Below are 14,540 nucleotides of genomic sequence, written 5' to 3' on the forward strand. Positions count from 1 at the left end.
AAAGAGATGTAAAGCAACAGAGTATACTAAGTATAATGTTTCTAAGAGAATTCTTTTTCTGATCTGTACTATTAAATATTAGCAAGAAGGTATGTTTTCATTGCATTACTTAGTGTATTCCTATAGTACAGCCAAAAGAGATGCACATACATCAATAGCTATTATCAAAATGTAAATATAAACATATCTGCTTACACCTGTCCCTTTATACTTCCTTCTGCCCTTCAGCTGCCAATCTACTGAACACATCCTGATACATACACTGCTCAGAGGTGGTTTAACAACAATTCCATGTCCAAGGTGCAGCTTTTCTATCAAGCATAAAAAATACATTTACAAAGTAGCTAATCCACCAGCTCTACTTTTTCTCATACGTTGTCACCTCAGGGCATCTATAAAGCTTAGATGTTGCAAAATAAAGACTGAACTTTATCCACAATAAACACAGGCAGGTTACAGAAAATGCATATATAAATCTATGGTTAAATCCAAAAAAGTCACCTAAGTATGGAGATATTAGCAAAGAGGCCTTCCCTCCATCCTTCCTCTTCTTTCACCATTCTAGTGACTAAGTACCTGATTACATCCAGCTCCAAAAGAAGGATTAACAAAGGTCACTGCCAGTAGATAGGCCTTCTTAAAAATGAACAAAAGGACTTTTAGAAAGGCGTTATTTTACTACCTCTACCTTTAACATACTTTGGGCATTAGGACTTGTTTATCTTTTAATACACAGCAATATTAACAAAAACACATACAGGGCCGGGTGCGGTGGCTCACGCCTGTAATCCCAGCACTTTGGGAGGCCGAGGCAGGCGGATCACAAGGTCAGGAGATTGAGACCATCCTGGCTAACACGGTGAAACCCCGTCTCCACTAAAAATACAAAAATTAGCGAGGCGTAGTGGTGGGCGCCTGTAGTCCCAGCTACTCAGAGAGGCTGAGGCAGGAGAATGGCGTGAACCCGGGAGGCGGAGATTGCAGTGAGCCGAGATCGCTCCAGTGCACTCCAGCCTGGGCGATAGAGCAAGACTCCGTCTCAAAAAACAAAAAACAAACAAACAAACAAACAAAAAACAAAAACCACATACAGAACAATGGTTAGACGATCTGAACTAATCTAACTTACAGGCACAAAGCTTCTCTCTGCATACTTCCTTTTCTCCCTATCTCCCAGCATACAATGAACAGTCAGCAACCTCTCTAAGACATCAAGTTTAACAGTTCCATTCCCCAAATGCAGCTAGTCCTGTGAAATCACAAAAAATACTCAAAGAGTGTCACTTTAGCTGTCTTAATGTACATACTTTAACATATGTTATGTACACTTTGAAATATCTAGAAAGACTAGATTTTCATATAAGAACTTAAGTTTTCCGTTATACACAGAGTAGCATTGAATTAACTACTAATGCTATAATGTGATAGAGTTAGTTTACTAACTCTATACCTTTGTCATACACTGGTAACCTCTTTAGCATCTAGAAAGACTAGATATAAATTAGGATTAATTTGTCCTTTATATACACTATATACACAGATAAGGAAAACAAAATGCACAGACGTAAGAGACAATGGCTAATGTTGCCTCATTGTAAGCACATTGCCACAGAACTCTTTACACTTCCTTCTCCTCCCAGGAGCCAGCACACAAACATAATGTGTATTACTCAAGAGGTGGTTTGGCCATTCCCCTCTCCAGCCCCCAGTCAACATTTCATATGAATTTTAAGAAACAGATATTTAAAAAATTTGTTATTTTCTACCTCTACTTTTGACAGCTATGAAGCACTTTAGAACATCAAGAAAGGCAAGATAGGGCAGGCGTGGTGGCTCACGCCTGTAATCCCAGCACACCACTGCACTCCAGTCTAGGTGACAGAGAGAGACTCCTTCTAAACAAACAAACAAACAACTACAAAAAAACCAAAACAATTAGCCGGGCATGGTGGTGGGTGCCTGTAATCCCAGCTGCTTGGGAAGCTCAGGCAGGAGAATCGCTTGAACCCAGGAGGTGGTGGTTGCAGTGAGCTGAAATCATTCCATTGCACTCTAGCCTGGGCTACAAGAGCGAGACTCTGTCTCAAAACAAAAACAAACAAACAACCCCCCCAAAAAAAACACACCAAAAAACAAAAAAAACTAGATCTATACAGAGCAGAGGCCTCAGAAATAACGCCACACATCTACAACCATCTGATCTTTGACAAACCTGAGAAAAACAAGAAATGGGGAAAGGATTCCTGATTTAATAAATGGTGTTGGGAAAACTGGCTGGCCACATGCAGAAAACTGAAACTGAACCCCTTCCTTACACCTTATACAAAAATTAACTCAAGATGGATTAAAGACTTAAACATAATACCTAAAACCATAAAAACCCTAGAAGAAGACCTAGGCAATACCATTCAGGACATAGGCATGGACAAAGACTTCACAATTAAAACACAAAACGCAATGGCAACAAAAGCCAAAATTGACAAATGGGATCTAATTAAACTAAAGAGCTTCTGCATAGCAAAAGAAACTATCACCAGAGTGAACAGGCAACCTACAGAATGGGAGAAAACCTTTGCAATCTACCCATCTGACAAAGGGCTAATATCCAGAATCTACAAAGAACTTAAACAAATTTACAAGAAAAAGGCAAACAACCTCATCAAAAAGTGGGCGAAGGGTATGAACAGGCATATCTCAAAAGAAGACATTTATGCAGCCAACAAACATGAAAAAAAAAGCTAATCATCACTGGTCATTAGAGAAATGCAAATCAAAACCACAATGAGATACCATCTCACGCAAGGTAGAATGGCCATCATTAAAAAGTCAGGAAACAACAGATGCTGGAGAGGATGTGGAGAAATAGGAACGCTTTTACACTGTTGGTGGGAGTGTAAATTAGTTCAACCATTGTGGAAGATGGTGTGGTGATTCGATCTAGAACCACCAATACCATTTGATCCAGCAATCCCATTACTGGGTATATACCCAAAGGATTAGAAATCATTCTGCTATAAAGACACATGCACACATATGTTTATTGCAGCACTGTTCACAATAGCAATGACTTGGAACCAACCCAAATGCCCATCAATGATAGACTGGATGAAGAAAATGTGGCACATATACACCATGGAATACCATGCAGCCAGAAAAAAGGATAAGTTCATGTCCTTTGCAGGGACATGGATGAAGCTGGAAACCATCATTCTCAGCAAACTAACACAGGAATAGAAATCCAAACACTGCATGTTCTCACTCATAAGTGGGAGTTGAACAATGAGAACACATGGACACAGGGAGGGGAATATCATACACCAGGGCCTGTCGGGGGAGGGGGAGTGGGGGAGGGATAGCATTAGGAGAAATACCTAATGTAGATGACGGGTTGATAGGTGCAGCAAACCACCATGGCACATGTATACCTATGTAACAAACCTGTACATTCTGCACATGTATCCCAGAACTTACAGTAAAAAATACATAAATAAAAATAAAAAGAAAGACAAGATATTTCAAAAAAATTCTTAGCATTGTCAACAATATATACAGTAGTGAGGAATAAAATGCGCACATAAAGCAGTGGTTATAATATGAAAATGTCTCCTAAGCATGACCAGTCTGGAAAAGAACCTTCTCTTCATTCTCACTGCCTTCTGCTCCATGGCCTCTAACCCACTGAATGAACGTGGTGGTGTGTTGCTCCTGGAGTCACTTCTACAGCTCGTCTAACAACTTTCGTTTCAAAGAGTCATTTCCAGAAGGCGTTTGCTTTCTACCATTTTTTAAAAGAACAAATGGGCATTTACAAGACGTGATTTTCTTTTTTCTTTATTTTATTTTATTTTTTTGAGATGGGCTTTCACTCTTGTTGCTCAGGCTGAAGTGCAATGGCGCCATCTCGGTTCACTGCAACCTCCGCCTCCCGGGTTCAAGCGATTCTCCTGGGATTACAAGCATGTGCCACCTCGCTCGGCTAATTTTGTATTTTTAGTAGAGATGGGGTTTCCCCATGTTGGTCAGGCTGGTCTCGAACTCTGGACCTCAGGTGATCTACCCGCCTCTGCCTCCCAAAGGGCTGGGATTACAGGTGTGAGCCACCGCGCTCGGCTGACGTGTGATTTTCTAACTATTATACGTCAGCAACCTTTTAAAATCTAGAATGGCTAGGTAGAGCAAAAATTTTCTTTTAAAAGGTTGAGGGAAAAGTTGAGAGCAGCTTTTTCATATTATTTACCTGGGCCTTCTATAAAGGCCAGTAAATCCTCCCAAATGGTGGGGGGCATTTCCAGTCCACCAAATGTGGCATGTGATTTCTCTCTTTGGGTATCAAGGTCTGGTAGAACAAACGGCAACCACGCAATGGCCTGCTAACCACTCCACCTGTCCTTGTGGGGGCTCTGCTCACCTTCTAGGCCCTTTTAGGCCTTTGTCCATCATTTCTGGCATTTTTGGGAGGAGGTAAGGTCTTGTCTAACTGGGACAAAGTGGTCAGCCCGGGACCCGCATCTGTGCAACTCCATGGCATAATGAAGTTCCTGAGCTTGTGTCTCTAGGCCCACCTTCTTGGGTTCTGCAAACTACTGCAGCCCTCAGCGCCTTCTGGCGGCCGCCATTCTTCTTCCTCTGCGACATCCATTTCCTCCCAAAGGCACGGTGTCCTCCGCAGCTCGGTGAGGGCTTCGCCAAGGCGCAGCAGGATTTCTAGATGTTCTAAAGTGCTTTATAGCCCAGCGAGGTCTGGGCCCAGAGAGGCTGCCGCCATCAGCTCACTGAAGTGGGGAGAGAAGGAGGTTTGCAGGGCCCCAGCTCACCTGCCTCTCAGTGCGCTGCTTCTCACCACATTGTCTGCCTGAACTCTAAATGTCTTTCTACTGAAAATATTTGGATTGTTTTATGAGGAGACCGAGGACCACCTCGTGGCCATCAAGCAGATCATCCAGAGGCAAAACTCCTTGTCTGAGGAATTCAGAAGTAATTATTAATCGACGTCCCTATTATCAAAAGCAGGCATCTAGTACCGGGCTTCTTTCCCAAAAATGTATAAGTAACTAGAATTTCTATACATCTCTGGAATGCATGTATGTTGAAACTTATTGTGCAGCCCTTGCTGACATCAAAGCACCAAAATGTCTACAAATGTAATCATTTATCCTGACCTAGGTGGCTAATATGGTCCAAATTACCCTTAAGCTCCTGCTTTAAGGTTCATAAATGCTCCTAAGGAAAAATCCACGGTGGCTTGCTCAGTCCGCTCTTGCTGAAGCGCCCTGCTGCACTCCTCTGCAGCACTGGTTCTAATAAAGCTTTCCTTTTCAAACCCACACTGTTGTGGGTAAATTCTTATTACCATGAGCCAATCACTTTCCGTTGCTGTGGCGCTGACACCTCGCCCAGCATTTCTGTTTGCCGGACTGCCTCTCGACTGACAACAGATCTGTATAAATTCAAGTCCTTGAAGCGGAGCTTCTGAGGCTTGCAGTCAGACCATTTGGATAAATCTAGTATCAGCTGGGAATTTGCTTAAGCATTTTTTCATTGATTACACAGTTCTACCGTATTTCACTCAAATCTACTGCTACAGTTCTTCTATGGTATTCATCTCCTTTTGAAATCATGGTGATATGGCTTGGACCTGTGTCCCCACCCAAATCTCATGTTCAATTGTAATTCCCAGTGTTGCAGGTGGGGCCTGGTGGGAGGCGGTTGGATTACTGGGGTGGGCCATTCATGAATGGTTTAACACCATTCCCTTGGTTCTGTTCTTGAAATAGTGAGTGAGTTCTTGTGAGATCTGGTTGTTTAAAAGTGTGTGGCACCTTCCTGCCCTCTCTCTCTTGCTCCTGTTTCTGCCATTTAAGATGCCGTGCTTCAGCTTTGCCTTTCACCATGATTGGAAGCTTCCCGAGGCTCCCAGAAGCAGAAGCCTCTATGCTTCCTGCACAGTCTGCAGAATCATGAGCCAATTAAACCTCTTTTCTTTATAAATTACTGAGTCTCAGGTATCTATAGCAATGCAAGAATAGACCAATACACCTGGTGTGGAAAATAGATTCCCTCAAAAGAATGGAGGGTTGTTACAATACTAAGGACAAGGTTTCCGTGGAAAAAGTAAAGAAAGTTAGGAACAGTGAAACTGCTTGCTCTATATTTCTGTTTAGACTTCAGGTAGAGTCAGTTAGATGAATGGGCCAAAAGAACCAGGAAAAGGAGGAAGATGCAGCTTGATCACAGAGATCTGACACAGGGTAAGAGGGAAAAGGAGGAGAGCCTTTGTATAGAGCCAAATAATATCCAGATCTAAATTTTCTTCCCAAGTTTAGAGTTTGTTAACATTTACACCTTGCTGCAGAACCATGTAGCTGCTGTCTCTGAATTCATGGAGAGTGAATATTCCAGGAAGCACAATGGAAGGCGTCCAGGTTCAAAGATAAATGGTAGTGGGGCTGACAGAAAAACAGCATCCTTCTTACCAAGTTTGTCCTGGGAACATCCAGAGATTTTTATTATAAGTCGACTAAACAAGAATAGTGAGAGTTAACAGCAATTGTTTTAGCTACTGTGACTTCAGTACTACCATGAAAGGAGAATCTGTGAGGATTGGAGTTTTTTCCTCATGCTCATCCCACAAGTGCTTCACTGATACCTTGTCTGTCTGCTTAGGTCAGTGTTCTCAAAGATTATTTTGTGAATGTGTATAACACTGGCTGTATGACAAACACCTGAGGAGATTTTTAACTTCCAGGATCTTGATTCTGAACATTTTGATTTTGTAAGTGAGGAGATCTCCAAATCTGTATTTTAAAGATGATCACCAACTAACTCTTACATGAAGAGAAGTGTCATCCTTGCTATGATTCTATACATCAGCAGACATGTCTCTACCAATCCTAGAAGCTGAGATGGGCTTTTTCTTTGGTCTTTTGAGGCAAATCCAAATTATTTAAGTATCTTATCCCGTGGTAAAAATAACTATTGGTCAATAGTATTGGTGGATGGACATATGTAGGGGGTATATAATCAAGGCTAAATTTCCATTAAAAGGTTAGTATCACAACACTTTGCCTCATGCACATAGGCCAGTCACATTATCTGGGAATCATTTCTTCTCCTACAGGAGAAGAAAGTGATGCCAGATAATTTTGTAGGGATTTAATGACTTTAGTTACTATATTTTTTCATTATAAGAGTTATATATTCTTTACTTTTTAATCAATATATACACAAGATATAATTTCCTTTTTTCTTTGAAAAGAATTTATTAATTGGAAATTACAATTAATTTATTTCTGTAATTGATGCCTTAAATGTGAAGCAATATGATATTTCAAGTAGTAACAATTCCTCAACCAAAGACCATTCATTTATTCATGCATTTGTGTATTTAAGAAGTGTTTCCTAACCACCTGCTGAGTGTTTGACATTGTACTAGGTATGGGAATACAGCAGTGAAAAAAAGCTTAAGTCTCTCTCATCTCAAATAATCTACTAATGTTTAAACATGTGCTACTGACATTCCTCTGGTTTTATCCTAAAAAAGTGCTAATACGGTATTTTAGTGGATCATGGGTTGGGCAAAGATGGCTAAATAAGAAAAGGTAAAATGAATTATTCTCAGAAATGCCATGGTATGAAAAGAACTTGCAAGTCAGACAGTGTGCTGTTAAAAAAAACAGAGTTATAAAAAAGACCAACTATTCTTTAGATATACAAAGAACTATCAGACAGCTAATAGGTGTCTTAGAAAAAAAAAAAAAGCCAGAAGTGAAGATACAGGATTGACTTTTGAAAGAACAGTCAACAATCCTTTGAGTTTAGGATCTTGCCCACAAAGGGGTGCATCTTCCTAACACATTCACATTTCCTGCTCACGCTCATTTCTTCAGTGTGACCTTAACTTTTCCTCACACTAAGAAGACAAGACCCAAGGGCACCAGAGGGTCTAAAAATGAATTCTTCTCCAGGACCAGCGATTGCACTATTCTTAATGTTTGGTAAGTAAAATGGCACTTAAAACTTAGAATCTTTTGTTCCATTATGTTGATGTAATCTGTAACCACAGTTTTCTCTAACGGGTACAGCTAAGATCACGTCTAAGGTAACTTGGTATAATTTGTTTATTTTTTTTTCAGGGGGAATCAATGGAGATTCAGTGGTCCAGACAGAAGGCCAAGTGCTCCCCTCTGAAGGGGATTCCCTGATTGTGAACTGCTCCTATGAAACCACACAGTACCCTTCCCTTTTTTGGTATGTCCAATATCCTGGAGAAGGTCCACAGCTCCACCTGAAAGCCATGAAGGCCAATGACAAGGGAAGGAACAAAGGTTTTGAAGCCATGTACCGTAAAGAAACCACTTCTTTCCACTTGGAGAAAGACTCAGTTCAAGAGTCAGACTCCGCTGTGTACTTCTGTGCTCTGAGTGACACAGTGACAGGGACTGCAGGGGAAGCTGAGCACAAACTCTGAGCAGCACGAGGGGCCTGGCTGCTGAGTGTAAGCCACTGTGATCCCCTCTGGTTAGGGACCAGGAACTACTCTACTATTGTTGCCCACCACCCACCCTAGGCACTCCTAGTGTGAAAGCCATCCAAATAAACTCTAAAACACTATAGAATAACTAAAAGTAAAAATACCTCACACCAGATGCTTTAACAATGAGAGTGAAAACAGAATGTCACCATAGTTCCTCAACCTTGTTTGAAATTTGTGATTTTAAAAGTATAAAACCTTGAGATAAATGAAATGGTCTAGCTGCTCATCCCTGTATAAAATGTAGCCTCCTGACCTTGTCTCAGGCCATCCAAGGAAATAGTATGCTTACAGACACAGCTGTGACAGATGAGGTTGCAAATGCTTAATGCATACCTGAGTGGGGTATACATTCAGCTGGGGCAAGATGGGGTGATTTCTTAGGAAAGCTTCTGCCCAAGAAATAATAGGTTCTTAAAGAAAAAAAGAATTATAAATGGAAGAAGTCAAATTTTCCTTGTTTGCAGATGATATGATTTTATATTTGGAAAAACATAGAGACTCCACAAAAAAACCTTAGAACTAAAAATTCAGTAAAGTTGCAAAATACAGAATCAACCTATAAAAATCAGTAGCATTTCTATATGTCAACAATAAACAACCCGAAAAAGAAATAAAAAAGTAATCGCATTTATGATAGCCATGAATAAAATTAAATAACTAGGGATTAACTTAACCGAAGAAGTGAAGATCTCTATAATGAAAAGTATAAAACATTGATGAAAGAAATCGAAGAAAACACCAAAAAAAATACTCCGTGTTCATGGATTGTAAGAATTAATATTGATAAAATGTCCATACTACCCCAAACAGTCTACAGATTCAGTACAATCCCTAAAAAAATACCAATGACATTCTTCACAGAAATAGAAAAAAAATCCTAAAATTTATATGGAACCACAAAAGACCCAGAATAGCCAAAGTTATCCTAAACAAAAAGAACAAAACTGGAAGAATAACTTTACCTGACTTTAAATTGTACTACAGAGCTATGGTACATGAAAACAGCATGGTACTGTCATAAAATCAGATACATAGACCAATGGAACAGAATAGAGAACCCAGAAACAAATTCACATATCTACAGTGAACTCATTTTTGACAAAGGTGCCAAGAACATACACTGGGGAAATGACAGTCTCTTCCATAAATGGTGCTGGGAAAACTGTATATCCATGTGCAGAAGGATGAAACTAGACCCCTGTCTTTCACCATATGCAAAAATAAAATCAAAATGGATTAAAGACTTAAATTTAGATCACAAACTCTGGAACTACTACAAGAAAACACTGGGGGAAATCTCCAGGACATTGGTCTGGGCAAACATTTCTTGAGCAATATCCCACAAGCACAGGCAACCAAAGTAAAAAGGGGCAAATGTTATCACATCAAGTTAAAATACCCTACACAGCGAAAGATACAATCAACAACGTGAAAAGACAATACACAGAGTGGTGAAAAATATTTGCAAACTACCCATCTTACAAGGGATTAATAACCAGAATATATGAGGAGCTCAAACAACTCTATAGGAAAAGATGAAATAATCTGATTAAAAAAACAGGTAAAGATTTACATAGACATTTCTCAAAAGAAGATGTACAAATTGTAAATGGGCATATGAAAGGGTTTTTGACATCATTGACCATCAGAGAAATGCAAATCAAAACTAAAACGAGATAGCATCTCATCCCAGTTAAAATGATTTACAAGAAAAAAACAAACAACCCCATCAAAAAGTGGGTGAAGGATATGAACAGACGCTTCTCAAAAGAAGACATTTATGCAGCCAAAAACACATGAAAAAATGCTCATCATCACTGGCCATCAGAGAAATGCAAATCAAAACTACAATGAGATACCATCTCACACCAGTTAGAATGGCAATCATTAAAAAGTCAGGAAACAACAGGTGCTGGAGAGGATGTGGAGAAATAGGAACACTTTTACACTGTTGGTGGGATTGTAAACTAGTTCAACCATTGGGGAAGTCAGTGTGGTGATTCCTCAGGGATCTAGAACTAGAAATACCATTTGACCCAGCCATCCCATTACTGGCTATATATCCAAAGGACTATAAATCATACTGCTATAAAGACACACACACACGTGTTTATTGTGGCACTATTCACAATAGCAAAGACTTGGAACTAAGCCAAATGTCCAACAATGATAGACTGGATTAAGAAAATGTGGCACATATACACCATGGAATATTTTGCAGCCATAAAAAATGATGAGTTCATGTCCTTTGTTGGGACATGGATGAAGCTGGAAACCATAATTCTCAGCAAACTATCGCAAAGACAAAAAGCCAAACACTGCATGTTCTCACTCATAGGTGGGAATTGAACAATGAGAACACATGGACACAGGAAGGGGAACATCACACACCGGAGACTGTTGTGGGTGGGGGAAGGGGGGAGGGATAGCATTAGGAGATATATCTAATGCTAAATGACGAGTTAATGGGTGCAGCACACCAACATGGCACATGTATACATATGTAACAAACCTGCACGTTGTGCACATGTACCCTAAAACTTAAAGTATAATAATAATAAAATAAAATTAAAAAATAAAATGTCTTATATCCAAAAGACAGGCAATAACAAATGCTGGCCAAGATGTGAGGAAAAGGGAACCCTCGTACACTATCGATTGGAATATAAAATAGTACAATCACTATGGAGAACAGTTTTAGTTTCCTCAAAAAACTAAAAATAGAGCTACTATGTGATCCAGCTGGGTATATACCCAAAGAAAGGAAATTAGTATATCAAGGAGATATCTGTACCCCCCGTTTGTTGCAGCACTGTTCACAATAGCTAAGATTTGGAAGCAACCTAAGTGTTCATCAACAGATGAATGGATAAAGAAAATGTGGTACATATATGCAATAGTACCATTCAGCCATAAAAAAGAATGAGATTCTGTCATTTGCAACTACGTGGATGAAACTGGAGATCATTATGCTAAGTAAAATAAGCCAGGCACAGAAAGACAAATATCACATGTTCTTACTTATTTGGGGGATCTAAAAATCAAAACAATTGAAATCAGGAACATAGAGAGTAGGAGGATGGTCTGAGGCTGCAAAGTAGTGGGGTGGGAGAGGGAGATGGGGATGGTTAATGGGTACCAAAAATTAGAAAGAATAAGACCCACCATTTGATAGCACAACAGGGTGACTATAGTCAACAATAATTGTACATTTAAAAATAACTAAAAGAGTGTAATTGAATTATTTGCAACACAAAGGATAAATGCTTGAGGAGAAGGACACCCTATTCTCCATGACGTGACTAGTTCACATTGCATGCCTGTATCAAAACATCTCATGTACTCCATGATATATACACCTAGCATGCACCTCCAAAAAGTAAAAATAAAAATAAGTAAAAATTTAAAAATCATTAATTAAAAAAGAAATATAAGAAATAATGGAGAAGGAGAGAGTAGAACATGTGATCACATATATGGAAAAAGAAGATGGAACATTTCTTAGTTTCTATTTTGGGAAATTACATGACATGCATAGACTGGTTTTGCCCAAAAGATGAAACTAATCCCTAAAAAATATGACTCATGGCCAGGCATGATGGCTCATGCCTGTAATCCCAGCATTTTGGCAGGCTGAGGTGGGTGGATTACCTGAGGTCAGGAGTTTGAGACCAGGGTGGTAAACCCCATCTCTACTACAAATACAAAAATTAGCTAGGTGTGGTGGTGGTTGCCTGTAATCCCAGCTACCTGGGAGGTTGAGGCAAGAGAATCACTTGAACTTGGGAGACAGAGATTGCAGTGAGCCAAGACTGTGCCACTGCACTCCAGCCTGGGCAATAGAGAGATACTCTGTCTCAAAAAAAAAAAAAAAAATGACTCATGCCTAAAAGATACCTTGCTGAGATATTATGACAGTAGAGAATTTTAGTTTGCATGATATCTCAGCAAGATGGCTTTCTCTCACTAAGACATTACTTAAGATATATAGGTAGTGTTCAGAGTCTGGAAGATGCAAACTATTGAGATGAAACTTTTTCTATGTAGATTGGTGTGAGAAAGGAATCTTATAGCTTCCCCAATGTCTTTCAAGCCATTTCTTCTACAGAAGGGGAGTAACAGATGAAGTGGTAGATGGCGGCCAGGGCTATGAGAAGATAAAGAATGGCAAAAAGAAGAATTTTTGGATTTAATTGCAGATATCTTGGCATCTTTGCTAACATTGGAGATTTTCTTTTGCTTGTCTATTGAAGGTGCTTAACTCATATCAATCAGTTTATTGACCCATAAGGAGTGCATTTTTGCTCATTATAAGGGTCCTTAAGCACAAAAAGTGAGAGTAAGAGGATGGTATGCAAGATCCCCTGTTTCACAGGCTACAAAGGAATGGAACTATTCAGATTAGTGATATAATAATTGACACTGAAGATGCCTTGACTTTGACTCTTTCATTTTTCATGATCACCCTGCTTTAGTTTCTCTCTTAGCTTTTAATTTTATTCCAAAGGCCTCAATTTAGATCTTATTAGTTAGTTGAGCTAATAACTACCTATACAAAATAAATAATTTATGTACATGGGAAAAATAACTTTAGATGGTTCAAATGACTATGCAAAATATCTCTGACTTTTGGCTACCACATGGCCAGGTTACAAATTTTCCAAACTTTTTTGGCCTGCTTTCCTTTTACATATAAGTTCCAATTTCAGATCCTTTCTTTGCTCACAGATATAAGCATAGGCTGTTACAAGCAGCCAGGCCACATCTTAAACACTTTGCTGCTTAGAAATCTCTTCTGCCAGATACCCTAAATCATCACTCTCAAGTTCAAAGTTCCACATATCCCTAGGGCAGAGACACAATGTGGCCAAGCTCTTTGCTAAAGCAAAACAAAAGTGACCTTTGCTCCAGTTCTCAATAAGTTCTTCACTTCCATCTGACATCTCATCTGCCTGGACTTTGCAGTCCATGTAACTATCAGCATTTTGGTCACAACCATTAGACAAGTATCTAGGAAGTTCCAAACTTTCCCCCATCTTCCTGTCTTCTTCTGACCCCTCCAAACTGTTCCAACCTCCAACTGTTACACAGTTCCAAAGTCGCTTCCACATTTTTGGTTATCCTTTCAGCAACACCTCACTCCTGGTACCAATTTACTGTATTAGTCTGTTTTCATGCTGCTGATAAAGACATACCCAAGACTGGGAAATTTACAAAAGAAAGAGGTTTAATTGGACTTACAGTTCCATGTGGCTGGAAAAGCCTCACAATCATGGCAGAAGGCAAGGAAGGGCAAGTTATGTCTTACATGGACGGCAGCACGCAAAGAGAACTTGTGCAGGAAAACTTCCCCTTATAATAGCCATCAGATCTCTTGAGACTTACTATCATGAGAACAGCATGGGAAAGACTTGCCCCCATAATTCAATTACTTTCCACTGGGCCCTCCCACAACATGTGAGAATTCAAGATGAGATTTTGGTGGGGACACAACCAAACCATATCAACTTCTTTACTTACTAATATGCATTTAAGGTTTCTAAGTGCTTTTCATGTCTTGATAGCTCATTTCTTTTTAGTAGTGAATAATATTCCATTGTCTGGATATACCATATTTTATTTATCCATTTACCTCCTGAAGGGCATCTTGGTTGGTTCTAAGTTTTGGCAATTATTAATATAGCTGGTATAAATATCTCTTTGCAGGTTTTGGTGTAGACATAAGTTTTAACTACTTTTGGTAATTACCAAGGAGCACAACTGCTGGACTGTATGGCAATGGTATGTTTAGTTTTGTAAGAAGCTGCCAAACTGTCTCTTAAAATGGCTGTACCATTTTGCATTCTCACCAGTAATAAATGAGATTTCCTGTTGTTCCACATGCTCATCAGCATTTGATGTTGTTGGAGGTCTGGAACTTGGGCATTGGAATAGAAGTGTCAGGGTATCTCATTGTTTTAATTTACGTTTTCCCAATGGCATATGATAAAAAGCATCTTTTCATATG

At 39.5% G+C, this 14,540-nt stretch overlaps 1 gene segment (V, D, J or C) and 1 further gene, besides 4 other annotated features; both read left to right on the forward strand.

Annotated features, from left to right (window-relative positions):
- Nucleotides 1-14,540, forward strand: part of TRA (T cell receptor alpha locus) — a 930,229-nt gene that overhangs the window by 181,650 nt on the left and 734,039 nt on the right.
- Nucleotides 7,949-7,994: a sequence feature (TRAV9-1 leader sequence).
- TRAV9-1 (T cell receptor alpha variable 9-1) lies at nt 7,949-8,424 on the forward strand. The segment is given in 2 exon segments: nt 7,949-7,994; nt 8,133-8,424. Coding segments are annotated over 2 exon segments (338 nt in total), but the record flags the coding sequence as incomplete, so codon positions are not given.
- Nucleotides 8,133-8,424: a sequence feature (TRAV9-1 leader sequence).
- Nucleotides 8,432-8,454: a recombination feature (spacer).
- Nucleotides 8,455-8,463: a recombination feature (nonamer).

Source organism: Homo sapiens, chromosome 14 (genome assembly GCF_000001405.40).
Source record: "Homo sapiens chromosome 14, GRCh38.p14 Primary Assembly".
Lineage (NCBI taxonomy): Eukaryota > Metazoa > Chordata > Mammalia > Primates > Hominidae > Homo > Homo sapiens.